Here is a 22,935-nt window from a genome sequence, read left to right on the forward strand (position 1 = left end):
CTTCTTTTGTCCTGGGAGGGCCTTACCGATAGGTGGCATCAATTGTGCGTTTGTTCATAGCAGTTTTACTCCTGGGTCTGAGGGAGGAGGGGCTGGGGGCCTGGACTCCTGGGTCTGAGGAGGGAGAGGCTGGTGCCTGGACTCCTGGGTCTGAGAAAGGAGAGGCTGGGGGCCGGGACTCCTGGGACTGAGGGACGGGTGGCTGGTGTCCAGGACTCCTGGGTCTCAAGGAAGAAGGGCTGGGGGGTCTGAGGGAGGAGGGGGCTGGGGACTCAGACTCTTGGGTCCAAGGGAGGAGCGGCTGGGGTCTGGACTCCTGGGTCTGAGGGAGGTGGGACTGAGGGCCCGGACTCCTGGGTTTGAGGGAGAAAGGCCTGGGGGATCTGAGGGAGGAGGGGCTAGGGTCTGAACTCCTGAGTCTGAGGGAGGTGGGGCTGAGGGCCTGCACTCCTGGGTCTGAGAGAGGAGGGGCTGGGGGGTCTGAGGGAGGAGGAGGCTGGGGGGTTTGAGGGAGGTAGGGCTGGAGTCTGGACTCCTGGGTCTGAGGGAGGAGGGGCTGGGGGCCCGCACTCCTGGGTCTGAGGGAGCTGGGGCTGGGGAGGTCTGAGAGAGGTGGGGCTGGGGGGTTTAAGGGAGGTGGGGCTGGAGTCTGGACTCCTGGGTCTGAGGGAGGAGGAGGCTAGGGACCCGGACTCCTGGGTCGGTGGGAGGAGGGGCTGGGGCATCTTAGGGAGGTGGGGCTGGGGCCTGGACTCCTGGGTCCTGCACTCTGGGGCTGGGAGAGAAAGGCCTGCCCTGCCTGCGTCTCCCTCTCTGTGTTCCACCCCCACCCATAGACCTCTTCGCTAGAGTCCTGAGCCCCCAGCCCACTTTCCAGCTCCCTCCTCTTCCCTTTCTGGAAGCTTCCCTTCTGCGTTTGTTCATAGGAGGTTTGCTCTTGGGTCTGAGGGAGGAGGGGCTGGGGTCCTGAGCTCCTGGGTCTAAAGGAGGAGGGGCTGGGGAGTCTGAGGGAGGAGGGAGGTGGAGGCCCAGACTCCTGGGTCTGAGGGAGGAGAAGCTGGTGCCTGGACTCCTGGGTCTGAGAGAGGAGAGGCTGGGATCTGGGACTCCTGGGTCTGAGGGAGGAGGGGCTGGGGTCCTGGACTCCTGGGTCTGAAGGAGGAGGGGCTGGGGGGTCTGAGGGAGGAGGGAGCTGGGGAGACGTGTGTCTTCTCCCTCCCGTGACTCCTGCTCACTTTCCCCATGTCTGTGTTTCTGCTCCCCTCTCCCCGTGATCCTGTCAGCTTCTTTTAGTTTTTATTTTTTAGAGTTGGGGTCTTGCTCTGTTGCCCAGGCTGGAGTGCAATGGTGCAATCATAGCTCACTGCTACCTCAAACTCCTGGGTTTAAGCGATCCTCTGGTATCAGCCTCCCGAGTAGCTGGGACTACAAGTGTGTGCCACCATACCTGGCTAATTTTTACGTTTTGTTTTTTTTTTTGTGGAGATGGGGTCTTGATATGTTGCCCAGGCTGAGATTGTAAAAAGTCATCATGGAACACCCCACCTCCCAGTGCAGGAAAGCTGGCTGTGGTATTGCCAAGAATGATGTTTATTGCAGCACTATTCCCAATAGCTAAGATTTAGAGACAACCTAAGTGTCCATCAACAAATGAATGGATACAGAAAATGTGGTACATATACACAGTGGAACACTATTCAGCCATCAGAAAGAATGAGAGCCTGTCATTTGCAACATGGATGGAACTGGAGGTTATGATGTTAAGTGCAATAAGTCAGGCACAGAAGATAAACTTCACAGGTTCTCATTTATTTTTGGGAGCTAAAAATTGAAACAATTAGCCGGGCACTCACACCTGTAATCCCAGCACTTTGGGAGGCTGAAGCAGGTGGATCACCTGAGGTAAGGAGTTCAAGACCAGCCTGGCCAACATGGTGAAACCCTGTCTCCACTAAAAATACAAGAATTAGCCAGGCGCAGTGGCGCGTGCCTGTATTCCCAGCTACTTGGAAGGCTGAGACACAGAAGTGCTTGAACCTGGGAGGAGGGGGTTGTGGTGAGCCAAGACCTCTCCAGTGCACTCCAGCGACCTGGGAGACAGAGCGAGACTCCATCTCCAGAAGCCTGGAGAAATAGGGACAAAAAACAAAAACAAAACCAACTGAGTTAATGGAGATAGACAGTAGAAGCATAGTTATCAGAGGCTGGGGAGGGTGAGGGTATGTGGGTAGTGGGGAAGTGCGGATGGTTAATGGGTACGAGGAAATAGAATAAGATCTAGTATTCGATAGCACAACAGGGTGACTGTGGTCAATAATAATTTAATTGTACATTTAAAAACAACAAAAAGAATATAATTAGATTGTTTGTAACACAAAGGGTGAATGCTTGAGGTAATGGATACCCCATTTACCCTCATGTGATTATTACACATTATATGCCTATATTAAAATATCTCATGTACCCCATAAATATATCCACCTGCTATGTACCCACAACAATTACAAATTAGCAAAAAAAGAATAATGTGGCTCTTGCCAGGTTTCAGCTCCACCCTTGCTGTGTGTGTGGCGCGTTGCGTCCCCAGGTCCCTCTCAGTGGTCCGTGGAGAGCATTACCACCTGTCACTGTCTACTATCTCAGGGCAGACCCTCTCTCCTCTCTCTTCCTCCATCTCTGCACCCCACAAATAAAGTGGCAACCCCCCCGATGTGTGTCTTTGCAGAACCTGAATGTGATGAGATTGCCAGAAAATGCCAGTGTGCCCCTGGATGGGTGGAGGAGGGTGGGGCGGGTGGAGGGGACAACTTTGCCCCATTGGGGAACCACTGGGCTATACCTGTCACTGAAGCTTCCTTTCTCCCCTGCACCTGACTCCACACCTCAGGACGCAGGTCAGGAGGGCTGGGGGATGCTCTAGCCTTGGCCAGGTGGGCCTGGAGATGATTGTTCACTGCAGGAGCATTCACCTTTTTAGATGGGTGCTTCCTGTCTAGAGAAGGAGACACGGGGAGCTGGAAAGAGAAGCCTGCAGAAATAGGGACCGGGCAAAAACAAAGGAGGGTGGAGTCGGGGAGTGTAGAAGAGATAAAGTAAGGACTGGAGTGAGGAAGAGGCATCAAAAGAGGGAGGGAATGGTGAAGGCAGAAAACCGTGAGAAACGGGGAGTGAGAAGATAGCATGAGAAAGACAGGATCAAGTCAGGCGTGGTGGCTCACGCCGGTAATCCCAGCACTTTGGGAGGCTGAGGCGGGCGGATCATTTGAGGTCAGGAGTTTGAGACCAGCCTAGCCAACATTGTCTCTACTAAAAATACAAAAATTAGCCAGGTGTGGTGGTGTGTGTCTGTAATCCCAGCTACTCAAGAGGCTGAGGCAGGAGAATCGCTTGAACCCATGGTGGGGTGGAGGTTGCAGTGAGCCGAGATCGCACCACTGTACTCCAGCCTGGGTGACAGAGTGAGACTCTGTCTCAAAAACAAACAAACAAGCAAACAAAAAAACCAGGTAAACTGAGGCTGGGTTTTGTATCCCAGACCAAATGCCTGCACTTTGAATGCCTGGTTGGGAAGCCTGAGATTATCCTGTAGGGAAGCATCGAGAGCATGAACTGAATGGTGTTAGGAGACAATTATCCATGGCTCTCTTACCTTTCTGCCTGTCTCCTGAAAAAGGTATTAGCCACTTTTGAGTTCCAGATTGTCTTTTTATGGATGTTTCTCTAGAGCATCAGAGCATGTTTGTTCACTGTCTTAGATAATAAAGATAATGTCCTTCCATAATGATTTATTTATTGGCTAGGATAGTAAATACAACATGTCCTTCCGGGGCAGGTGGATCAGCAGTCCGACATAACAAAGATAATATCTCTCCGAGTTTCAAAGTCAAGCAGATTTCCTTGCATCTCCCTTATAAGATTGAAGATTTGTAAATACATGTAAACAGAGGTTCCCCAGCATTGACGCAAACCACTGTGTGCGCAGCATCTGCCTGAGCCACTCTGATCATCCCTGTAGGACCTGGGGGGCAAGGTGAGCCCATGTGAACATGAATCTCATGCTGCCGGCTGTGCCATGAGTAATAAAGTCCTTTGTCTCTGACCCGGAGTTGTTGTGTGTTCTGCCAATAGTTTCACTGGATACAAAATTCTTGGCTGATAATTGTTTTGTATAAGGAGGCTAAAGACAGGACCACAATCCCTTCTAGGTTGTAGGGTTTTTGCTGAGAAATCTGCTGTCAATCTAATAGGTTTTCCTTTATAGGTTACCTGATGCTCCTTCATCTTGACTTTAGATAACCTGATGACTATGTGCCTAGGGGGGTCATCTTTTTTTTGTTTTGTTTTGTTTTGAGATGGAGTCTCACTCTGTTGCCCAGGCTGGAGTGCAGTGGTGCGATTTCGGCTCACTGCAACGTCCGCCTCCCGGGTTCAAGAGACTCTTCCGCCTCAGCCTCCCGAGTAGCTGGGATTACAGGTGCGTGCCACCACACCCGGCTACTTTTTTATATTTTTAGTAGAGAAGGGGTTTCACTGTGTTAGCCAGGATGGCCTCGATCTCCTGACCTTGTGATTGGCCTGCCTAAGTCTCTTAAAGTTCTGGGATTACAGGCGTGAACGACTACGCCCGACCAGTGGTCATCTTTTTGCAATGAATTTCCCAGGCGTTCTTTGAGCTTCTCATGTTTGGATATCTAGATCTCTAGCAAGGCCAAGGAAGATTATTCCCCTCAAATATGTTTTCCAAACTTTTAGATTTATCTTCTTCCTTGGGAACATGAATTATTCTTAGGTTGGTTGTTTAACATAATCCCAAACTTCTTGGAGGTCTTGTTCATTTTTTAAAAATACTTTTTTCTTTGTCTTTGTTGGATTGGGTTAATCCAAAAGTCTTGTCTTTGGGCTCTTAAGTTCTTTCTTCTACTTGTTTGATTCTATTGCTGAGACTTTCCAGTGTATTTTGCATTTCTCTAAGTGTGTCCTTCATTTCCAGAAATTGTAATTGTTTTTGATTTACGCTATTTCTCTGGAGATTTTTCTGTCCATATCCGGTAACACTTTTTAAAATTTCTTTAAGTTGGTATTCACCTTTCTCTGGTGCCTTCTTGAGTAGCTTAGTAATTGATCTTCTGATTTTTTTTTTTTCTGGCAATTTCAGAGATTTCTTTTTGGTTTGGATCCATTGTTGGTGAGCTGGTGTGATCTTTTTGGCGTGTTAAATAACCTTGTTTTGTCGTATTACCAGAATTGGTTTTCTGGTTCCTTCTCCTTTGTAGACTATGTCAGAAGGAAGATCTGGGTCTCAAGGGCTGCTCAGATTCTGGATTTAGCTACCCAGTGGAGCGTCTGCGCTCTGGGCTGGTACTGGGGGGTGTCTGCAAAGAGTCCTGTGATGTGATTCATCTTCAGGTCTCTTAGCTGTGGATATCAGCACCTGCTCCGTTGGAGGTAACAGAGGAGTAAAGTAGACTCGCTGGGGTTCCTTGGTTGTATTATTTTTTAGTGCGCTGGTTTTGTGTTGGTTGGCCTCCAGCCAGGAGACGGCACTTTCAAGACAGCATCAGCTGCAGTAGTACAGGGAGGAAAACAGCTTGCCCTAGGGTTACCTGGATAAGTATTCAGGTTTCTCAGGTGGAGGATGGGGCCAGATAGCTTCCAAGAGAGTATGTCCTTCGTCTTTGGCTACTAGGGCAGGTAGAGGAACACCATCAGGTGGGGGCAGGGTTAGGGGTGTCTGAGTTCAGACTCTCCTTGGGTAAGGGTCGCTGTGGCTGCTGTGTGGGGGTGGGGTGTGGTTCTCAGGCCAATGAGGTTATGTTCCCAGGGGAATTATGGCTGCCTCTACTGCATCATGTGGGTCACCAGGGAAGTGGGAGAAAGCCAGCAGTTTCAGGGCTCACCCAGCTCCCATGCAGCCCAAAAAGCTGGTCTCATTCCCACTGTGTGCATCCCCAATCAATGCACAGTTTGTTTGCAGGCAGCAGGTGCGCAGGGCTGGGAACTCGCCCCAGGCTACAAGCCTCCCTGCTGAGAAAGCAAGCAGGGCTTTCAGGTTTCGTGCCTCCCCACCTGCTGCAGCTTCTGTGCTCATGTCTGCACTCACAGTTCACCCCCTCCCCTGAGTTCTGTCCAGGAAACTTCGTGTTCAGTTGAAATTGTTGCAAAGTTCAGCTGGAAGCTTCCTTCTCCCTGTAGTCTTTCCCCAATTCCGTTGGCAGCCCTCCCCAAGGACCCCTGTGAGATGAAGTCAGAAATGGCTTCCCTGGGGACCAACAGTACCCTCAGGGCTCTTCCTGCTGCTTTCTCTACCCCCCGTATTTCATTCAGCTCTCTAAGTTCATCTCGGCTCCAGGTAAGGTCAAATCCTTCTCCCATGATCTGGACCTTCAGATTCCCCAGTGAGGATGTGTGTGCAGGGGCGGATGATCCCCCCTTCACACTTTTCACACTTTGAGCACTCACAGTTTTTCAGCTGTCTCCTGGAGCCTGCAGCAGCAATGTGCTTCCTTCAAAGGGTCTGTGGGTTCTCTTGGCTTTCCTGGTATGTTCCTGCAGTAGTTCTTGGAGCAAAAATTCAAGACGTGAGTCTCCACATGCTGCTCTGTCCATCTGAGTGGGAGCTGCAAGTTAGTCCTGCTTCCTAGCCACCATTTTCTCCCCACATTAGCTTTTTGACTTTTCTTTATATATATATATATATATATATATATATATATATATATATATATATATATGTTTGTTTTTTTTAATTATACTTTAAGTTCTAGGGTACATGTGCACAACGTGCAGGTTTGTTACATATGTATACATGTGCCATGTTGGTGTGCTGCACCCATTAACTCGTCATTTACATTAGTTATATCTCCTAATGCTATCCCTCCCCCCACTTGACTTTTCTTTTTTATTAATTGCCTGTTCATATGCTTTGTCCATTTTTTTAGGGGTTGCTCTCTTGTTCATGTCAGAAGTTTCTTGTGCCTTCTAAATGGTGATCTCTTTTTGGTTTTGAACATTGTATAAGTCATCTTTTATAAATAGAAATTCTGAATTCTTATACAAGTTTCTGGATGACAGTGCCCTCTAAGCAAAAATTCTAAATTTTCCTATAATGAAGTACATCCAAATTTTGGTCTATGATTTGTGCTTCTGAAGTTGTGTCAAGAAGCCTTTTCTTTGTGTTAGATAACAAAGGTTATCTCTCATATTTTCTAGCCTCTCTAACCCTCTCTGTTTGTCCATCTGTTTCTGTATCTCATCCCATCTATATAGCTATTCATTAATTTCTCATTTAACTGATATTTGCTAGTTGTCACAACTGTGACTTGATGAAGATAACATAAACTCATAATAATATCCCTCAATAAGAAAAGGAACGATAAACTAGTGTCATTAGCTTATAAACCGTGTTAGATTAATTGGTGGATCAGAACACTTGAAATGTCCTGAAATCTTTCAGCTGACATTTGAAAGAAACTTACTATTATTTCTCCCCAAATTGGGCAAGAATCCTAGACAAATCATATGAAATTTAAATAAATAAAAGCTTTGAAGCTGAAAGAAATGTTTCTAAAGGATTAATAATGAAAAACAGATTTTGATCAAATATGATAAAAATGAAATTATTTTTCTTCCCCTAGAAAATGAGATTACAGGCCGGGTGTGGTGGCTTACACTTGTAATCCTAGCACTTTGGGAGGCCAAGGTGAGCGGATCATGAGGTCAGTAGTTCAAGATCAGCCTGGCCAACATGGTGAAACCCCGTTTCTGCTAAAAAAAAAAATACAAAAATTAGCCAGGTGTGGTGGCATGCGCCTGTAGTCCCAGCTGCTCGGGAGACTGAGGCAGAAGAATTGCTTGAACCCGGGAGGCAGAGGTTGCAGTAAGCCAAGATCGCACCACTGCACTCCAGCCTGGGCGACAGAGCGAGACTCTGTCTAAAAAAAAAAAAAAGAAAAGAAAAAGAAAATCAGATTACAAAATCATTTGATGATAAGCAGAGATAACTGAAGAGTATGAGGACAAAAGAATGTAGGAGAAGAACTTTATAAGGCATTTAAGACAATTGCTAAATTAAAAAATTCCACATCTTCTAAATTTTGCATTGATTTTGGTACTGTATACTCTTTTGAATAGTTCCCGTATTATTCCTTTTATCATTTAGATTCGCTATTTACATTTGTTATTTCTTTTCCCATTAGATTAATCTGGGTTATACCTAAGTTTATATTAAGAATCTTTTATTCTTTTTTTGTTTTTAAGAAGCTGAAGACCTCAGAAAACCTGATCAACATGAAATATGGTATGAAGTAGTACTCAATAAAGAGAAAACATGATGGTAATCTTGAAGAAAAGCACCATATTCATCTCTGTATGTCCTTCTGTGTCCCTCTCTGTCCCTGGGGGAGGGCCTCTCTGACCATCTCAGGCTGTTATAGTGGAGATTCTGGAACTCTGGAGTGGAAGGATTCCTGAGACCTTTCTGGGGGTATGCGAGGTCAAACACTAGTTTCATAATAATCTGTACACATTATTTACCTTTCTCACTCTTTTTTTTTTTTTTTTTTTTTTTTTTCTGAGATGGAGTTTCACTCTTGTTGCCCAGGCTGGAGTGCAGTGGCACAATCTCAGCTCACTGCAACCTCTGCCTCCCGGGTTCAAGTGATTCTCCTGCCTCAGCCTCCCAAGTAGCTGGGATTACAGGCGCCCGCCACCACGCCTGGCTAATTTTTGTATTTTTAGTAGAGACGGAGTTTCACCATGTTGTCCAGGCTGGTCTTGAACTCCTGACCTCAGATGATCCGCCCGCCTTGGCCTGATAAAGTGCTGGGATTACAGGTGTGAGCCACCACGCCTGGCACCTTTCTCACTCTTATTCTCTCACAAGCACAAGGTGGAATTTTCCAGAGCCTACATGCTGTGATATTGTAGCAAATTAAACCCTGAAGCAGATATGAGAGTCCAGCTGCCTTCTATTAAGCCAGACATTAAAGAGACTTGCAAAAGTGCATAACATTTTTTCTCACTAGTTTTTTTCTTAAAATATAGCTATTTTTCATTAAAATACATTATGTTAACATATTTATTATTGTTATTTAAAAATAAATTAATAACTGAATATTTTAAAGATTTCTCAGTTTTAATATCTACTGTGGTATCAATAGATATAGTTAATATAAACAAAAACCCATGAAAGGCCTTCAGTAATTCTTTTGTTTTGTTTTTTTTTTTCGATGGAGTTTTGCTCTTGTTACCCAGGGTAGAGTGCAGTGGCACAATGTTGGCTCACTGCAACCTTTGCCTTCCCGGTTAAGGTGATTCTCCAGCCTCAGCCTCCTGAGTAGCTGGGATTACAGGTGCCTGCCATCACGCCCGGCTAATTTTTGTATTTTTAGTAGAGATGGGGTTTCACCGTGTTGGCCAGGCTGGTCTCAAACTCCTGACCTCAGGTGATCTACCTGCTTTAGCCTCCCAAAGTGCTGGGATTGCAGGCGTGAGCCACCATGCCCGGCCCAATAATTCCCTTTTTTTTTTTTTTTTTTGAGACGGAGTCTTGCTCTGTCACCAGGCAGGAGTGCAGTGGCACGATCTCGGCTCACTGCACTCTCTGCCTCCCAGGTTCAAGTGATTATCCTGCCTCATCCTCCCGAGTAGCTGGGATTACTGGTGTGTGCCACCACACCCAGCTAATTTTTTTGTATTTTTAGTAGAAACAGGATTTCACCATGTTGGCCAGGATGGTCTCGATCTCCTGACCTCGTGATCTGCCCTCCTCGGCCTCCCAAAGTACTGGGATTACAGGCGTGAGCCACAGCGCCTGGCCCCAGCCCAATAATTCTTAAGAGTGTAAACATGTCCTGAGATGGCAAATGTTTGAGAACCACCGTTCTAGACATTTTCCTGAATTCTAGAGTGTGGGAGTGTAGAACCTGGAGCTTGGCTTCTGGAGCCTAGATTCTGGAATTTGGAGCTGGGATCTGAGGCTTGGCTGCAGCAGTGTGGGGCTGGCTTCCGGAACACAGATCTGACATGCTCATCTGCTGCGTGGGGTTTACTATCTGCCTTGAATCCTAAAGTCTGCCCCTGAGGAGTCTGGAATCTGGAATCTATTATCTTTAGTTGAACACCTGCAGTCTGCGTTCTGCTTTGCAGAGCTGGATTCTTTACCCGTGATCCGTTCTGGCATTTCAACTTCACACAGAATAGGCCACTTCATGGTACTGTTTTCAACCAATCAAGCAAATTAATCGTTAGAGCCCTTTCTAATTCCTCTAGTTGCAATGTTAAACCCAATATTTCTGTGTAGTGGGTCCATATTAATAAATTCAGCCTGATCTAACCTTATATTCCTTCCACCATTATTCCATACCAACCCTTAATATGCATTCCCACATATATTTCCTGGATTTCTGTCTATATAATGGGCAATCCCGGCTTTGCCAGTTTCTAGTGACCTAACATCTCTGTGACTCATGTTATTGTACTTTAAAGTGGAAATAATAACAGTTCCTGTACAGTTTAGGGCTTCCCAAGATGACCCTCCATTGACATCAGTTGAGATTCCAGGAGAGTCCAAAAGATCATCCTTAAGGTTCAGTCGTTTGCTAGGATGCTCATGGTTGTGGTTTATTACAGCAAAAGGATACAGATGAAAATCTGGCAAGGGAGAGGTGAATGAGGCAAAGACAAGGAGAACTCAAAGTGCGAAGCTTCTAGTTTTCTTTTCCCGGTGACATCGTGGAAAGCACTAGCATCTCTAAGCAATGATCTGTGACAATATTCACAGTGTATTGCCATCCAGGGAACTCAACTGAGCCTTGATGTCCAGAGATTTTTGTGTTTTTTTCTGAGACTGAGTCTCGCTCTGTGCCCAGGCTGGAGTGCAGTGGTGCAACCTTGGCTCACTGCAAGCTCCGCCTCCTGGGTTCACGCCATTCTCCTGCCTCAGCCTCCTGAGTAGCTGGGACTACAGGCACCCGCCACCACGCCTGGCTAATTTTTTTGTATTTTTAGTAGAGATGGGGTTTCACTGTGTTAGCCAGGATGGTCTCAGTCTCCTGACCTCGTGATCTGCCCACCTTGGCCTCCCAAAGTGCTGGGATTACAGGCGTGAGCCACTGCGCCTGGCCGATATCCAGAGATTTTTTGGGGGGCTCCATCACACAGACATGTTGACTGTCTTCATGGTTGACTTTTAGTATCCAGCCCCTCTAGAAATCTAGCTGATATAGTGTGGCTCAAAACCTTCAGCACAAATCACACCGTTAGACTATCTGGTGTGGCCCAAACCTTCAGGTGAACAAAGGCACTCTAAACTGGCAGGATATTCCAAAGCATTAGAGATGACCTCTTGCAAAGAAAAAGAAATGGAAAAGAAAAAGAAAGAAAGGAAAAAAAAAAAAAAAAAGAGATGACCTCTCAGGCTCTGAGGGGAAACGCCTGAGGTCTTTGAGCAAGGTCAGTCCTCTGTTGCACAGTCTCCCTCACAGGGTCATTGTGACGATCAAATGTGGTCACGTGTATGAGGCACCAGCACATGCCTGGCTCTGGGGAGTGCCGTGTAAGTGTATGCTTGCACTGCTGAATGGCTGGGATGTGTCAGGGATTATCTTCAGCACTTACAGATGCTCATCTCATCCTCACAGCATCACTATGGGATGGGTATTACTGGCCTCATTTGATGGAGAAACTGGCTGTGGCTCAGAAAGGGGGGACCACTAGACCAGGGACACTCTGGATGCTGGGGACTCCAGAGACCATGACCACTCACCAACTGCAGAGAAATTAATTGTGGCCTGATGTCCCTGTCCTGGAGAGGGTGGAGGTGGACCTTCACTAACCTCCTACCTTGACCCTCTCTTTTAGGGCTCTTTCTGACCTCCACCATGATACTAGGACCCCATTGTATTCTGTACCCTCTTGACTCTATGACCCCCACTGCCCACTGCATCCAGCTGGGTCCCCTCCTATCTCTATTCCCAGCTGGCCAGTGCAGTCTCAGTGCCCACCTGTTTGTCAGTAACTCTGAAGGGGCTGACATTTTACTGACTTGCAAACAAATAAGCTAACTTTCCAGAGTTTTGTGAATGCTGGCAGAGTCCATGAGACTCCTGAGTCAGAGGCAAAGGCTTTTACTGCTCACAGCTTAGCAGACAGCATGAGGTTCATGTTCACATTAGTACACCTTGCCCCCCCCAAATCTTGTAGGGTGACCAGAGCAGTCTAGGTGGATGCTGTGCACACGGGGTTTGTGCCACTGGTGAGAAACCTGAGATTAGGAATCCTCAATCTTATACTGGGACAACTTGCAAACCTGCTCAGCCTTTGTCTCTGATGAAGATATTATCTTCATGATCTTGGATTGAAAACAGACCTACTCTGGAGGAACATATTGTATCGATTGTCCTTGACAGTAAACAAATCTGTTGTAAGAGACATTATCTTTATTATCTAGGACAGTAAGCAAGCCTGGATCTGAGAGAGATATCATCTTGCAAGGATGCCTGCTTTACAAACATCCTTGAAACAACAATCCAGAAAAAAAAAGGTGTTGCTGTCTTTGCTCAGAAGACACACAGATACGTGACAGAACCATGGAGAATTGCCTCCCAACACTGTTCAGCCAGAGCCTTCCACCCTTGTCTGCAGGACAGTCTCAACGTTCCACCATTAAATACTTCTTCTGTCACATCCTGCTTATTTATGCCTAACCAAGGTTCTAGGTCCCGATCGACTGTGTCTGGCAGCACTCCACTGCCAAACCCAGAATAAGGCAGCGCTCAGGATCCCGAAGGGGCATGGCTGGGGATCAGAACTTCTGGGTTTGAGTGAGGAGTGGGTCCACCCTCTTGAATTTCAAAGGAGGAAGAGGCTGGATGTGAAGGAACTGGGGGAGGGAAAGTGTCAGTTCCGAACTCTTAGGTCAATGAGGGAGGAGACTGGTAAGGTCCCAGCTCCCGAGGTACTGATGTGGGAATGGCCTAAGAATCTCATATCCTCAGGAAGAAGGTGCTGGAATCCTGAGGGGTAGAGTTCTGGGTATATTTGTGGCTTAAGGCTCTTTGGCCCCTGAAGGGCAGAGGCTGGAACCATTAGGTCCAGGGTTTGGGGTGATAGTAATGGGATCTCTTGATTCCTCAAGAGTCTGAGGATCGAGGGTTGCCCATTCTTCCATCTTGCCACCTAATCCTTACTCCACTTGAGGGTATCACCAGCCCTTCTAGCTCCATGAAGGTGCCCCTGGGCAAGCACAATCTGAGCATGAAAGATGCCCCAGAGGCCTTGGGTGTCATCCACTCATCATCCAGCATCCACACTCTGAGGGTGTGGCCAGCACCATGACGTCATGTTGCTGTGACTATCCCTGCAGCGTGCCTCTCCAGCCACCTGCCAACCGTAGAGCTGCCGACATCCTCCTCTGGTGGGAGTGGCCTGCATGGTGCCAGGCTGAGGCCTAGTGTCAGACAGGGAGCCTGGAATCATAGGGATCCAGGACTCAAAAGTGCTAGAGAATGGCCATATGTCACCATCCATGAAATCTCAAGGGCTTCTGGGTGGAGGGCACAGGGACCTGAACTTATGGGTTTTCCCCAAGTCTATTGCTCTCCCAAGTGAGTCTCCCAGATACGAGGCACTGTGCCAGCATCAGCCTTATCTCCACCACATCTTGTAAAAGGGACTACCCAGGGCCCTGATGAACACCATGGTGTGTACAGGAGTAGGGGGTGGAGGCACGGACTCCTGTGAGGTCACAGCCAAGGGAGCATCATCATGGGTGGGGAGGAGGCAATGGACAGGCTTGAGAACGGGGATGTGGTTGTATTTGGTTTTCTTTGGTTAGATAAAGTGCTGGGTATAGGATTGAGAGTGGAGTATGAAGACCAGTTAGGATGGAGGATCAGATTGGAGTTGGGTTAGAGATGGGGTAAAATTGTGCTTCGGATGAGTTTGGGATTGACACTGTGGAGGTGGTTTGGGATGGCATGGCTTTGGGATGGAAATAGATTTGTTTTGATGTTGGCTCAGACATCCTTGGGGATTGAACTGGGGATGAAGCTGGGTTTGATTTTGGAGGTAGAAGACGTGGAAGTAGCTGTCAGATTTGACAGTGGCCATGAGTTTTGTTTGATGGGGAATCAAACAATGGGGGAAGACATAAGGGTTGGCTTGTTAGGTTAAGTTGCGTTGGGTTGATGGGGTCGGGGCTGTGTATAATGCAGTTGGATTGGTTTGTATTAAATTGGGTTGGGTCAGGTTTTGGTTGAGGATGAGTTGAGGATATGCTTGGGGACACCGGATCCATGAGGTTCTCACTGGAGTGGAGACAAACTTCCTTTCCAGGATGAATCCGGGGAAGCCTTAATTCACGTGTAGGGGAGGTCAGGCCACTGGCTAAGTATATCCTTCCACTCCAGCTCTAAGATGGTCTTAAATTGTGATTATCTATATCCACCTCTGTCTCCCTCACTGTGCTTGGAGTTTACCTGATCACTCAACTAGAAACAGGGGAAGATTTTATCAAATTCTTTTTTTTTTTTTTTTTTTTTTTGAGACAGAGTCTCACTCTGTTGCCCAGGCTGGAGTGCAGTGGCGCAGTCTCGGCTCACTGCAACCTCTGCCTCCCAGGTTCAAGTGATTCTCCTGCCTCAGCCTCCTGAGTTGCTGGGATTACAGGCATGCAGCACCATGCCCAGCTAATTTTTGTATTTTTAGTAGAGATGGGGTTTCACCAATGTTTGCCAGGCTGGCCTCGAACTCCTGACCTGGTGATCCACCTGCCTCAGCCTCCCAAAGTGCTGGGATTACAGGCGTCAGCCACCGCGCCCAGCCACTTTTGTCAAATTCTTGAGACACAGCTCGGGCTGGATCAAGTGAGCTACTCTGGTTTTATTGAACAGCTGAAATAACCAACTTTTTGGAAATTGATGAAATCTTACGGAGTTAACAGTGGAGGTACCAGGGCTCTTAAGAGTTCCCGATTCTCTTCTGAGACTACAAATTGTGATTTTGCATGCCACCTTAATCTTTTTTTTTTTTTTTTTAAATCGAGGTTTCAGTCTCATTCTATTTCCCAGGCTGGAGTTCAATGGCGTGATCACAGCTCACTGTAGCCTTGAACTCCTGGCCTTAAGAGATTCTCCTGCTTCGGTCTCCCAATAGCTAAGACTACAGTAGTCCACCACCATATCCAGATAATTTTTAAATTTTTTGGGGGGCCGGGCACAGTGGCTCACGCCTGTAATCCCAACACCATGGGAGGCTGAGATGGGTGGATCACGAGGTCAGGAGTTTGAGACCAGCCTGACCAACATGGTGAAACTCTGTCTCTACTAAAAAAAAAAAAAATAGAAAAATTAGCCGGGCGTGGTGGCACACGGCACCTGTAATCCCAGCTACTGAGGAGGCTGAGGCAGGAGAATCACTTGAACCCAGAAGGCAGAGGTTGCAATGAGCCGAGATTGCGCCACTGCACTCCAGCCTGGGTGACAGAGTGAGACTCTGTCTCAAAAAAAAAAAATTTTTTTTTTTTTTTTGTAGAGATGGATCTTGCTTTGTTTCTCTGGTTGGCCTTGAACTCCTGGCTTCAAGTGATCCTCCTACCTTGGCCTCGGAAAGTGTTGGGATTACAGGCGTGAGCCACCATGACTGACCTGTCGTTTAATCTTGAGGTACATAAACCTGGCTCCTAAAGGCTAAATATTTTGTTGGAGAAGGGGCATTGGATTTTGCATGAGGATGATTCTGACCTGGGAGGGCAGGTCAGCAGGCATCTCTGTTGCACAGATAGAGTGCACAGGTCTGGAGAACAAGGAGTGGGGGGTTATTGGAATTCCACATTGTTTGCTGCACGTTGGATTTTGAAATGCTAGGGAACTTTGGGAGACTCATATTTCTGGGCTAGAGGATCTGTGGACCACAAGATCTTTTTATGATGACAGTAGCAATGTATCTGTGGAGCTGGATTCTGGGTTGGGAGTGCAAGGAAAAGAATGTACTAAATGCCAAGACATCTATTTCAGGAGCATGAGGAATAAAAGTTCTAGTTTCTGGTCTCAGAGTGGTGCAGGGATCAGGGAGTCTCACAATCTCCTGAGTGCTGGTGTCTTAGGGCACACTGGGTCTTGGAGTGCAAAGGATCTAGGCACGTGAGGCTTTGTATGAAGAATCGGGGATCGTACCCACCCCCTGTTTCTGTTTCATCCTGGGCGTGTCTCCTCTGCCTTTGTCCCCTAGATGAAGTCTCCATGAGCTACAGGGCCTGGTGCATCCAGGGTGATCTAGTAATTGCAGAACAGCAAGTGCTAGCTCTCCCTCCCCTTCCACAGCTCTGGGTGTGGGAGGGGGTTGTCCAGCCTCCAGCAGCATGGGGAGGGCCTTGGTCAGCCTCTGGGTGCCAGCAGGGCAGGGGCGGAGTCCTGGGGAATGAAGGTTTTATAGGGCTCCTGGGGGAGGCTCCCCAGCCCCAAGCTTACCACCTGCACCCGGAGAGCTGTGTCACCATGTGGGTCCCGGTTGTCTTCCTCACCCTGTCCGTGACGTGGATTGGTGAGAGGGGCCATGGTTGGGGGGATGCAGGAGAGGGAGCCAGCCCTGACTGTCAAGCTGAGGCTCTTTCCCCCCCAACCCAGCACCCCAGCCCAGACAGGGAGCTGGGCTCTTTTCTGTCTCTCCCAGCCCCACTCCAAGCCCATACCCCCAGCCCCTCCATATTGCAACAGTCCTCACTCCCACACCAGGTCCCCGCTCCCTCCCACTTACCCCAGAACTTTCTCCCCATTGCCCAGCCAGCTCCCTGCTCCCAGCTGCTTTACTAAAGGGGAAGTTCCTGGGCATCTCCGTGTTTCTCTTTGTGGGGCTCAAAACCTCCAAGGACCTCTCTCAATGCCATTGGTTCCTTGGACCGTATCACTGGTCCACCTCCTGAGCCCCTCAATCCTATCACAGTCTACTGACTTTTCCCATTCAGCTGTGAGTGCCCAACCCTATCCCAGAGACCTTGATGCTTGGCCTCCCAATCTTGCCCTAGGATACCCAGATGCCAACCAGACACCTCCTTCTTCCTAGCCAGGCTATCTGGCCTGAGACAACAAATGGGTCCCTCAGTCTGGCAATGGGACTCTGAGAACTCCTCATTCCCTGACTCTTAGCCCCAGACTCTTCATTCAGTGGCCCACATTTTCCTTAGGAAAAACATGAGCATCCCCAGCCACAACTGCCAGCTCTCTGATTCCCCAAATCTGCATCCTTTTCAAAACCTAAAAACAAAAAGAAAAACAAATAAAACAAAACCAACTCAGACCAGAACTGTTTTCTCAACCTGGGACTTCCTAAACTTTCCAAAACCTTCCTCTTCCAGCAACTGAACCTCGCCATAAGGCACTTATCCCTGGTTCCTAGCACCGCTTATCCCCTCAGAATCCACAACTTGTACCAAGTTTCCCTTCTCCCAGTCCAAGACCCCAAATCACCACAAAGGACCCAATCCCCAGACTCAAGATATGGTCTGGGCGCTGTCTTGTGTCTCCTACCCTGATCCCTGGGTTCAACTCTGCTCCCAGAGCATGAAGCCTCTCCACCAGCACCAGCCACCAACCTGCAAACCTAGGGAAGATTGACAGAATTCCCAGCCTTTCCCAGCTCCCCCTGCCCATGTCCCAGGACTCCCAGCCTTGGTTCTCTGCCCCCGTGTCTTTTCAAACCCACATCCTAAATCCATCTCCTATCCGAGTCCCCCAGTTCCTCCTGTCAACCCTGATTCCCCTGATCTAGCACCCCCTCTGCAGGTGCTGCACCCCTCATCCTGTCTCGGATTGTGGGAGGCTGGGAGTGCGAGAAGCATTCCCAACCCTGGCAGGTGCTTGTGGCCTCTCGTGGCAGGGCAGTCTGCGGCGGTGTTCTGGTGCACCCCCAGTGGGTCCTCACAGCTGCCCACTGCATCAGGAAGTGAGTAGGGGCCTGGGGTCTGGGGAGCAGGTGTCTGTGTCCCAGAGGAATAACAGCTGGGCATTTTCCCCAGGATAACCTCTAAGGCCAGCCTTGGGACTGGGGGAGAGAGGGAAAGTTCTGGTTCAGGTCACATGGGGAGGCAGGGTTGGGGCTGGACCACCCTCCCCATGGCTGCCTGGGTCTCCATCTGTGTTCCTCTATGTCTCTTTGTGTCGCTTTCATTATGTCTCTTGGTAACTGGCTTCGGTTGTGTCTCTCCGTGTGACTATTTTGTTCTCTCTCTCCCTCTCTTCTCTGTCTTCAGTCTCCATATCTCCCCCTCTCTCTGTCCTTCTCTGGTCCCTCTCTAGCCAGTGTGTCTCACCCTGTATCTCTCTGCCAGGCTCTGTCTCTCGGTCTCTGTCTCACCTGTGCCTTCTCCCTACTGAGCACACGCATGGGATGGGCCTGGGGGGACCCTGAGAAAAGGAAGGGCTTTGGCTGGGCGCGGTGGCTCACACCTGTAATCCCAGCACTTTGGGAGGCCAAGGCAGGTAGATCACCTGAGGTCAGGAGTTCGAGACCAGCCTGGCCAACTGGTGAAACCCCATCTCTACTAAAAATACAAAAAATTAGCCAGGCGTGGTGGCGCATGCCTGTAGTCCCAGCTACTCAGGAGGCTGAGGGAGGAGAATTGCTTGAACCTGGGAGGTGGAGGTTGCAGTGAGCCGAGACCGTGCCACTGCACTCCAGCCTGGGTGACAGAGTGAGACTCCGCCTCAAAAAAAAAAAAAAAAAAAAAGAAAAGAAAAGAAAAGAAAAGGAAGTGTTTTATCCCTGATGTGTGTGGGTATGAGGGTATGAGAGGGCCCCTCTCACTCCATTCCTTCTCCAGGACATCCCTCCACTCTTGGGAGACACAGAGAAGGGCTGGTTCCAGCTGGAGCTGGGAGGGGCAATTGAGGGAGGAGGAAGGAGAAGGGGGAAGGAAAACAGGGTATGGGGGAAAGGACCCTGGGGAGCGAAGTGGAGGATACAACCTTGGGCCTGCAGGCCAGGCTACCTACCCACTTGGAAACCCACGCCAAAGCCGCATCTACAGCTGAGCCACTCTGAGGCCTCCCCTCCCCAGCGGTCCCCACTCAGCTCCAAAGTCTCTCTCCCTTTTCTCTCCCACACTCTATCATCCCCCGGATTCCTCTCTACTTGGTTCTCATTCTTCCTTTGACTTCCTGCTTCCCTTTCTCATTCATCTGTTTCTCACTTTCTGCCTGGTTTTGTTCTTCTCTCTCTCTTTCTCTGGCCCATGTCTGTTTCTCTATGTTTCTGTCTTTTCTTTCTCATCCTGTGTATTTTCGGCTCACCTTGTTTGTCACTGTTCTCCCCTCTGCCCTTTCATTCTCTCTGTCCTTTTACCCTCTTCCTTTTTCCCTTGGTTTCTCTCAGTTTCTGTATCTGCCCTTCACCCTCTCACACTGCTGTTTCCCAACTCGTTGTCTGTATTTTTGGCCTGAACTGTGTCTTCCCCAACCCTGTGTTTTTCTCACTGTTTCTTTTTCTCTTTTGGAGCCTCCTCCTTGCTCCTCTGTCCCTTCTCTCTTTCCTTATCATCCTCGCTCCTCATTCCTGCGTCTGCTTCCTCCCCAGCAAAAGCGTGATCTTGCTGGGTCGGCACAGCCTGTTTCATCCTGAAGACACAGGCCAGGTATTTCAGGTCAGCCACAGCTTCCCACACCCGCTCTACGATATGAGCCTCCTGAAGAATCGATTCCTCAGGCCAGGTGATGACTCCAGCCACGACCTCATGCTGCTCCGCCTGTCAGAGCCTGCCGAGCTCACGGATGCTGTGAAGGTCATGGACCTGCCCACCCAGGAGCCAGCACTGGGGACCACCTGCTACGCCTCAGGCTGGGGCAGCATTGAACCAGAGGAGTGTACGCCTGGGCCAGATGGTGCAGCCGGGAGCCCAGATGCCTGGGTCTGAGGGAGGAGGGGACAGGACTCCTAGGTCTGAGGGAGGAGGGCCAAGGAACCAGGTGGGGTCCAGCCCACAACAGTGTTTTTGCCTGGCCCGTAGTCTTGACCCCAAAGAAACTTCAGTGTGTGGACCTCCATGTTATTTCCAATGACGTGTGTGCGCAAGTTCACCCTCAGAAGGTGACCAAGTTCATGCTGTGTGCTGGACGCTGGACAGGGGGCAAAAGCACCTGCTCGGTGAGTCATCCCTACTCCCAAGATCTTGAGGGGAAAGGTGAGTGGGGACCTTAATTCTGGGCTGGGGTCTAGAAGCCAACAAGGCGTCTGCCTCCCCTGCTCCCCAGCTGTAGCCATGCCACCTCCCCGTGTCTCATCTCATTCCCTCCTTCCCTCTTCTTTGACTCCCTCAAGGCAATAGGTTATTCTTACAGCACAACTCATCTGTTCCTGCGTTCAGCACACGGTTACTAGGCACCTGCTATGCACCCAGCACTGCCCTAGAGCCTGGGACATAGCAGTGAACAGACAGAGAGCAGCCCCTCCCTTCTGTAGCCCCCAAGCCAGTGAGGGGCACAGGCAGGAACAGGGACCACAACACAGAAAAGCTGGAGGGTGTCAGGAGGTGATCAGGCTCTCGGGGAGGGAGAAGGGGTGGGGAGTGTGACTGGGAGGAGACATCCTGCAGAAGGCGGGAGTGAGCAAACACCTGCCGCAGGGGAGGGGAGGGCCCTGCGGCACCTGGGGGAGCAGAGGGAACAGCATCTGGCCAGGCCTGGGAGGAGGGGCCTAGAGGGCGTCAGGAGCAGAGAGGAGGTTGCCTGGCTGGAGTGAAGGATCGGGGCAGGGTGCGAGAGGGAAGAAAGGACCCCTCCTGCAGGGCCTCACCTGGGCCACAGGAGGACACTGCTTTTCCTCTGAGGAGTCAGGAACTGTGGATGGTGCTGGACAGAAGCAGGACAGGGCCTGGCTCAGGTGTCCAGAGGCTGCCGCTGGCCTCCCTATGGGATCAGACTGCAGGGAGGGAGGGCAGCAGGGATGTGGAGGGAGTGATGATGGGGCTGACCTGGGGGTGGCTCCAGGCATTGTCCCCACCTGGGCCCTTACCCAGCCTCCCTCACAGGCTCCTGGCCCTCAGTCTCTCCCCTCCACTCCATTCTCCACCTACCCACAGTGGGTCATTCTGATCACCGAACTGACCATGCCAGCCCTGCCGATGGTCCTCCATGGCTCCCTAGTGCCCTGGAGAGGAGGTGTCTAGTCAGAGAGTAGTCCTGGAAGGTGGCCTCTGTGAGGAGCCACGGGGACAGCATCCTGCAGATGGTCCTGGCCCTTGTCCCACCGACCTGTCTACAAGGACTGTCCTCGTGGACCCTCCCCTCTGCACAGGAGCTGGACCCTGAAGTCCCTTCCCCACCGGCCAGGACTGGAGCCCCTACCCCTCTGTTGGAATCCCTGCCCACCTTCTTCTGGAAGTCGGCTCTGGAGACATTTCTCTCTTCTTCCAAAGCTGGGAACTGCTATCTGTTATCTGCCTGTCCAGGTCTGAAAGATAGGATTGCCCAGGCAGAAACTGGGACTGACCTATCTCACTCTCTCCCTGCTTTTACCCTTAGGGTGATTCTGGGGGCCCACTTGTCTGTAATGGTGTGCTTCAAGGTATCACGTCATGGGGCAGTGAACCATGTGCCCTGCCCGAAAGGCCTTCCCTGTACACCAAGGTGGTGCATTACCGGAAGTGGATCAAGGACACCATCGTGGCCAACCCCTGAGCACCCCTATCAACCCCCTATTGTAGTAAACTTGGAACCTTGGAAATGACCAGGCCAAGACTCAAGCCTCCCCAGTTCTACTGACCTTTGTCCTTAGGTGTGAGGTCCAGGGTTGCTAGGAAAAGAAATCAGCAGACACAGGTGTAGACCAGAGTGTTTCTTAAATGGTGTAATTTTGTCCTCTCTGTGTCCTGGGGAATACTGGCCATGCCTGGAGACATATCACTCAATTTCTCTGAGGACACAGATAGGATGGGGTGTCTGTGTTATTTGTGGGGTACAGAGATGAAAGAGGGGTGGGATCCACACTGAGAGAGTGGAGAGTGACATGTGCTGGACACTGTCCATGAAGCACTGAGCAGAAGCTGGAGGCACAACGCACCAGACACTCACAGCAAGGATGGAGCTGAAAACATAACCCACTCTGTCCTGGAGGCACTGGGAAGCCTAGAGAAGGCTGTGAGCCAAGGAGGGAGGGTCTTCCTTTGGCATGGGATGGGGATGAAGTAAGGAGAGGGACTGGACCCCCTGGAAGCTGATTCACTATGGGGGGAGGTGTATTGAAGTCCTCCAGACAACCCTCAGATTTGATGATTTCCTAGTAGAACTCACAGAAATAAAGAGCTGTTATACTGTGGTTTATTCTGGTTTGTTACATTGACAGGAGACACACTGAAATCAGCAAAGGAAACAGGCATCTAAGTGGGGATGTGAAGAAAACAGGGAAAATCTTTCAGTTGTTTTCTCCCAGTGGGGTGTTGTGGACAGCACTTAAATCACACAGAAGTGATGTGTGACCTTGTGTATGAAGTATTTCCAACTAAGGAAGCTCACCTGAGCCTTAGTGTCCAGAGTTTTTATTGGGGGTCTGTAGGATAGGCATGGAGTACTGGAATAGCTGACCTTAACTTCTCAGACCTGAGGTTCCCAAGAGTTCAAGCAGATACAGCATGGCCTAGAGCCTCAGATGTACAAAAACAGGCATTCATCATGAATCGCACTGTTAGCATGAATCATCTGGCACGGCCCAAGGCCCCAGGTATACCAAGGCACTTGGGCCGAATGTTCCAAGGGATTAAATGTCATCTCCCAGGAGTTATTCAAGGGTGAGCCCTGTACTTGGAACGTTCAGGCTTTGAGCAGTGCAGGGCTGCTGAGTCAACCTTTTACTGTACAGGGGGGTGAGGGAAAGGGAGAAGATGAGGAAACCGCCTAGGGATCTGGTTCTGTCTTGTGGCCAAGTGGACCATGGGGCTATCCCAAGAAGGAG

The 22,935-nt window shown here is 49.6% G+C and overlaps 1 protein-coding gene and 1 long non-coding RNA gene across 5 annotated transcripts in view, besides 54 other annotated features; both read left to right on the forward strand.

Annotated features, from left to right (window-relative positions):
* Nucleotides 1–86: part of a silencer, noted in NCBI's record as "silent region_10982", that runs on past the window's edge. NCBI's record gives its function as "represses an Ori minimal core promoter by ATAC-STARR-seq in GM12878 lymphoblastoid cells {active_cell/tissue: GM12878}" and the evidence as "EXISTENCE:reporter gene assay evidence [ECO:0000049][PMID:35858748]".
* The window catches only part of LOC105372441 (uncharacterized), a 20,614-nt gene extending 7,933 nt beyond the window's left edge, over nt 1–12,681 (forward strand). For both annotated transcript variants that reach the window (NR_131205.1, NR_131203.1), the window contains exon 3: nt 12,449–12,681. This is a non-coding gene — a long non-coding RNA (uncharacterized LOC105372441). The remainder of the gene's footprint in view (nt 1–12,448) is intronic.
* Nucleotides 1,958–2,145: a silencer, noted in NCBI's record as "fragment chr19:51343676-51343863 (GRCh37/hg19 assembly coordinates)". NCBI's record gives its function as "represses an EF-1alpha promoter that drives an FKBP-Casp9 reporter gene in an ReSE screen in K562 erythroleukemia cells {active_cell/tissue: K562}" and the evidence as "EXISTENCE:reporter gene assay evidence [ECO:0000049][PMID:32094911]".
* Nucleotides 5,431–5,953: an enhancer, noted in NCBI's record as "H3K4me1 hESC enhancer chr19:51347149-51347671 (GRCh37/hg19 assembly coordinates)". NCBI's record gives its function as "activates a minimal SCP1, AML or CMV promoter by ChIP-STARR-seq in naive H9 embryonic stem cells {active_cell/tissue: H9 hESC(naive)}" and the evidence as "EXISTENCE:reporter gene assay evidence [ECO:0000049][PMID:30033119]".
* Nucleotides 5,954–6,475: an enhancer, noted in NCBI's record as "H3K4me1 hESC enhancer chr19:51347672-51348193 (GRCh37/hg19 assembly coordinates)". NCBI's record gives its function as "activates a minimal SCP1, AML or CMV promoter by ChIP-STARR-seq in naive H9 embryonic stem cells {active_cell/tissue: H9 hESC(naive)}" and the evidence as "EXISTENCE:reporter gene assay evidence [ECO:0000049][PMID:30033119]".
* Nucleotides 10,701–16,464: a promoter, noted in NCBI's record as "6 kb HindIII fragment". NCBI's record gives its function as "directs prostate specific expression" and the evidence as "EXISTENCE:transgenic organism evidence [ECO:0001131][PMID:9259317]".
* Nucleotides 10,701–16,490: a biological region, named in NCBI's record as "KLK3 upstream enhancer/promoter region". NCBI's record gives its function as "regulatory_interactions: KLK3".
* Nucleotides 11,204–12,788: an enhancer, noted in NCBI's record as "DEE (distal enhancer element)". NCBI's record gives its function as "androgen-responsive enhancer" and the evidence as "EXISTENCE:reporter gene assay evidence [ECO:0000049][PMID:8636136, PMID:11170135, PMID:12589022]".
* Nucleotides 11,570–12,980: a DNaseI hypersensitive site, noted in NCBI's record as "DHS I, II and III; stimulated by androgen in LNCaP cells; the nucleotide coordinates are approximate for this feature". NCBI's record gives the evidence for it as "EXISTENCE:in vivo cleavage assay evidence [ECO:0001075][PMID:9013762]".
* Nucleotides 11,768–12,591: a promoter, noted in NCBI's record as "PSAR822 fragment". NCBI's record gives the evidence for it as "EXISTENCE:reporter gene assay evidence [ECO:0000049][PMID:9012480]".
* Nucleotides 11,768–12,591: an enhancer, noted in NCBI's record as "PSAR822 fragment". NCBI's record gives its function as "androgen-responsive enhancer" and the evidence as "EXISTENCE:reporter gene assay evidence [ECO:0000049][PMID:9012480]".
* Nucleotides 12,008–12,607: a mobile genetic element.
* Nucleotides 12,008–12,608: an enhancer, noted in NCBI's record as "LTR40a". NCBI's record gives its function as "androgen-responsive enhancer" and the evidence as "EXISTENCE:reporter gene assay evidence [ECO:0000049][PMID:22597536]".
* Nucleotides 12,202–12,642: an enhancer, noted in NCBI's record as "AREc". NCBI's record gives its function as "androgen-responsive enhancer" and the evidence as "EXISTENCE:reporter gene assay evidence [ECO:0000049][PMID:9013762, PMID:11006269]".
* Nucleotides 12,213–12,243: a protein binding site, noted in NCBI's record as "ETS1 probe". NCBI's record gives the evidence for it as "EXISTENCE:protein binding evidence [ECO:0000024][PMID:19789348]".
* Nucleotides 12,217–12,239: a protein binding site, noted in NCBI's record as "ARE VI DNase I footprint". NCBI's record gives the evidence for it as "EXISTENCE:nuclease protection assay evidence [ECO:0001106][PMID:10464314]".
* Nucleotides 12,289–12,313: a protein binding site, noted in NCBI's record as "ARE V DNase I footprint". NCBI's record gives the evidence for it as "EXISTENCE:nuclease protection assay evidence [ECO:0001106][PMID:10464314]".
* Nucleotides 12,327–12,356: a protein binding site, noted in NCBI's record as "PSAe4190 probe". NCBI's record gives the evidence for it as "EXISTENCE:protein binding evidence [ECO:0000024][PMID:11000519]".
* Nucleotides 12,330–12,425: a tandem repeat, noted in NCBI's record as "LTR40a internal Dup 1 region". NCBI's record gives the evidence for it as "COORDINATES:sequence similarity evidence [ECO:0000044][PMID:22597536]".
* Nucleotides 12,335–12,358: a protein binding site, noted in NCBI's record as "ARE IV DNase I footprint". NCBI's record gives the evidence for it as "EXISTENCE:nuclease protection assay evidence [ECO:0001106][PMID:10464314]".
* Nucleotides 12,368–12,405: a protein binding site, noted in NCBI's record as "ETS5 probe". NCBI's record gives the evidence for it as "EXISTENCE:protein binding evidence [ECO:0000024][PMID:19789348]".
* Nucleotides 12,372–12,394: a protein binding site, noted in NCBI's record as "ARE III DNase I footprint (PMID:10464314)". NCBI's record gives the evidence for it as "EXISTENCE:protein binding evidence [ECO:0000024][PMID:9013762, PMID:9070893, PMID:10464314, PMID:11006269]".
* Nucleotides 12,378–12,392: an enhancer, noted in NCBI's record as "ARE III". NCBI's record gives its function as "androgen-responsive enhancer" and the evidence as "EXISTENCE:reporter gene assay evidence [ECO:0000049][PMID:9013762, PMID:9070893]".
* Nucleotides 12,404–12,418: a protein binding site, noted in NCBI's record as "PSA1/HNF-3; includes fp6 DNase I footprint". NCBI's record gives the evidence for it as "EXISTENCE:nuclease protection assay evidence [ECO:0001106][PMID:11170135]" and "EXISTENCE:protein binding evidence [ECO:0000024][PMID:12750453]".
* Nucleotides 12,426–12,531: a tandem repeat, noted in NCBI's record as "LTR40a internal Dup 2 region". NCBI's record gives the evidence for it as "COORDINATES:sequence similarity evidence [ECO:0000044][PMID:22597536]".
* Nucleotides 12,427–12,456: a protein binding site, noted in NCBI's record as "PSAe4085 probe". NCBI's record gives the evidence for it as "EXISTENCE:protein binding evidence [ECO:0000024][PMID:11000519]".
* Nucleotides 12,428–12,475: a protein binding site, noted in NCBI's record as "ETS6 probe". NCBI's record gives the evidence for it as "EXISTENCE:protein binding evidence [ECO:0000024][PMID:19789348]".
* Nucleotides 12,436–12,458: a protein binding site, noted in NCBI's record as "ARE IIIA DNase I footprint". NCBI's record gives the evidence for it as "EXISTENCE:nuclease protection assay evidence [ECO:0001106][PMID:10464314]".
* Nucleotides 12,450–12,465: a protein binding site, noted in NCBI's record as "A3a binding site". NCBI's record gives the evidence for it as "EXISTENCE:protein binding evidence [ECO:0000024][PMID:11006269]".
* Nucleotides 12,469–12,495: a protein binding site, noted in NCBI's record as "Psa3.1; includes PSAe4045 probe". NCBI's record gives the evidence for it as "EXISTENCE:protein binding evidence [ECO:0000024][PMID:11000519, PMID:12782640]".
* Nucleotides 12,480–12,506: a protein binding site, noted in NCBI's record as "ETS7 probe". NCBI's record gives the evidence for it as "EXISTENCE:protein binding evidence [ECO:0000024][PMID:19789348]".
* Nucleotides 12,498–12,521: a protein binding site, noted in NCBI's record as "PSA2/HNF-3". NCBI's record gives the evidence for it as "EXISTENCE:protein binding evidence [ECO:0000024][PMID:12750453]".
* Nucleotides 12,501–12,533: a protein binding site, noted in NCBI's record as "ETS8/9 probe". NCBI's record gives the evidence for it as "EXISTENCE:protein binding evidence [ECO:0000024][PMID:19789348]".
* Nucleotides 12,560–12,581: a protein binding site, noted in NCBI's record as "ARE IIIB DNase I footprint". NCBI's record gives the evidence for it as "EXISTENCE:nuclease protection assay evidence [ECO:0001106][PMID:10464314]".
* Nucleotides 12,588–12,604: a silencer, noted in NCBI's record as "XBE". NCBI's record gives its function as "negatively regulates transcription" and the evidence as "EXISTENCE:reporter gene assay evidence [ECO:0000049][PMID:14715080]".
* Nucleotides 12,588–12,604: a protein binding site, noted in NCBI's record as "XBE". NCBI's record gives the evidence for it as "EXISTENCE:protein binding evidence [ECO:0000024][PMID:14715080]".
* Nucleotides 12,611–12,636: a protein binding site, noted in NCBI's record as "ETS10 probe". NCBI's record gives the evidence for it as "EXISTENCE:protein binding evidence [ECO:0000024][PMID:19789348]".
* Nucleotides 12,680–12,691: a protein binding site, noted in NCBI's record as "PSA E". NCBI's record gives the evidence for it as "EXISTENCE:protein binding evidence [ECO:0000024][PMID:10625666]".
* Nucleotides 14,285–14,296: a protein binding site, noted in NCBI's record as "PSA G". NCBI's record gives the evidence for it as "EXISTENCE:protein binding evidence [ECO:0000024][PMID:10625666]".
* Nucleotides 14,330–14,341: a protein binding site, noted in NCBI's record as "PSA H". NCBI's record gives the evidence for it as "EXISTENCE:protein binding evidence [ECO:0000024][PMID:10625666]".
* Nucleotides 15,831–16,490: a promoter, noted in NCBI's record as "PCPSA 660 bp fragment". NCBI's record gives its function as "androgen-responsive promoter" and the evidence as "EXISTENCE:reporter gene assay evidence [ECO:0000049][PMID:1724287, PMID:8573614]".
* Nucleotides 15,838–16,238: a DNaseI hypersensitive site, noted in NCBI's record as "DHS IV; stimulated by androgen in LNCaP cells; the nucleotide coordinates are approximate for this feature". NCBI's record gives the evidence for it as "EXISTENCE:in vivo cleavage assay evidence [ECO:0001075][PMID:9013762]".
* Nucleotides 15,913–16,464: a promoter, noted in NCBI's record as "550 bp fragment". NCBI's record gives its function as "androgen-responsive promoter" and the evidence as "EXISTENCE:reporter gene assay evidence [ECO:0000049][PMID:1724287, PMID:8626436]".
* Nucleotides 16,052–16,086: an enhancer, noted in NCBI's record as "ARR (androgen response region); includes ARE III, ARE2S and region A". NCBI's record gives its function as "androgen-responsive enhancer" and the evidence as "EXISTENCE:reporter gene assay evidence [ECO:0000049][PMID:8626436, PMID:9013762, PMID:9224617]".
* Nucleotides 16,058–16,077: a protein binding site, noted in NCBI's record as "ARE II; also known as ARE2S and region A". NCBI's record gives the evidence for it as "EXISTENCE:protein binding evidence [ECO:0000024][PMID:8626436, PMID:9013762, PMID:9224617]".
* Nucleotides 16,129–16,464: a promoter, noted in NCBI's record as "300 bp fragment". NCBI's record gives its function as "minimal androgen-responsive promoter" and the evidence as "EXISTENCE:reporter gene assay evidence [ECO:0000049][PMID:1724287]".
* Nucleotides 16,151–16,197: a protein binding site, noted in NCBI's record as "Sp-D; -302/-256 probe". NCBI's record gives the evidence for it as "EXISTENCE:protein binding evidence [ECO:0000024][PMID:15708372]".
* Nucleotides 16,251–16,274: a protein binding site, noted in NCBI's record as "TRE (T3-responsive element)". NCBI's record gives the evidence for it as "EXISTENCE:protein binding evidence [ECO:0000024][PMID:11191079]".
* Nucleotides 16,275–16,304: a protein binding site, noted in NCBI's record as "ARE I". NCBI's record gives the evidence for it as "EXISTENCE:protein binding evidence [ECO:0000024][PMID:7514587, PMID:8626436, PMID:9013762]".
* Nucleotides 16,279–16,301: an enhancer, noted in NCBI's record as "ARE I". NCBI's record gives its function as "androgen-responsive enhancer" and the evidence as "EXISTENCE:reporter gene assay evidence [ECO:0000049][PMID:1724287, PMID:9013762, PMID:9070893]".
* Nucleotides 16,295–16,419: a transcriptional cis regulatory region, noted in NCBI's record as "pN/H region". NCBI's record gives its function as "positive regulator of promoter activity" and the evidence as "EXISTENCE:reporter gene assay evidence [ECO:0000049][PMID:11006269]".
* Nucleotides 16,306–16,352: a protein binding site, noted in NCBI's record as "Sp-C; -147/-101 probe". NCBI's record gives the evidence for it as "EXISTENCE:protein binding evidence [ECO:0000024][PMID:15708372]".
* Nucleotides 16,344–16,385: a protein binding site, noted in NCBI's record as "Sp-B; -109/-68 probe". NCBI's record gives the evidence for it as "EXISTENCE:protein binding evidence [ECO:0000024][PMID:15708372]".
* Nucleotides 16,364–16,427: a transcriptional cis regulatory region, noted in NCBI's record as "-100 construct sequence including B region". NCBI's record gives its function as "required for mitogen-activated protein kinase-stimulated promoter activity" and the evidence as "EXISTENCE:reporter gene assay evidence [ECO:0000049][PMID:12858361]".
* Nucleotides 16,381–16,422: a protein binding site, noted in NCBI's record as "Sp-A; -72/-31 probe; includes region R1 and region ii DNase I footprints and P2 site". NCBI's record gives the evidence for it as "EXISTENCE:nuclease protection assay evidence [ECO:0001106][PMID:1724287, PMID:11006269]" and "EXISTENCE:protein binding evidence [ECO:0000024][PMID:15708372]".
* KLK3 (kallikrein related peptidase 3) lies at nt 16,453–22,302 on the forward strand. Of its 3 annotated transcripts, none has more exons than NM_001030047.1 (5): nt 16,453–16,539; nt 17,778–17,937; nt 19,567–19,853; nt 19,997–20,133; nt 21,068–22,302. In NM_001030047.1, exons 1-5 carry the CDS (start codon nt 16,494–16,496, stop codon nt 21,152–21,154), a joined length of 717 nt encoding a protein of 238 aa, NP_001025218.1. In that variant the 5' UTR covers nt 16,453–16,493; the 3' UTR covers nt 21,155–22,302. The 3 variants fall into 3 exon arrangements, with proteins under 3 accessions (NP_001025218.1, NP_001639.1, NP_001025219.1); NM_001648.2 differs by having other exon boundaries at nt 21,510–22,302; NM_001030048.1 differs by having other exon boundaries at nt 19,696–19,853; nt 21,510–22,302.

The sequence above is a fragment of the Homo sapiens genome, chromosome 19, assembly GCF_000001405.40.
Source record: "Homo sapiens chromosome 19, GRCh38.p14 Primary Assembly".
Classification (NCBI taxonomy): Eukaryota; Metazoa; Chordata; class Mammalia; order Primates; family Hominidae; genus Homo; species Homo sapiens.

Coding starts and splice junctions, on each gene's coding strand:
- KLK3 (NM_001648.2), top strand. CDS start 16,494: ATGTGGGTCCCGGTTGTCTTCCTCACCCTGTCCGTGACGTGGATTG. Junction 16,540..17,777: donor CCTGTCCGTGACGTGGATTG/GTGAGAGGGGCC, acceptor CCCCCTCTGCAG/GTGCTGCACCCCTCATCCTG. Junction 17,938..19,566: donor GCTGCCCACTGCATCAGGAA/GTGAGTAGGGGC, acceptor CTTCCTCCCCAG/CAAAAGCGTGATCTTGCTGG.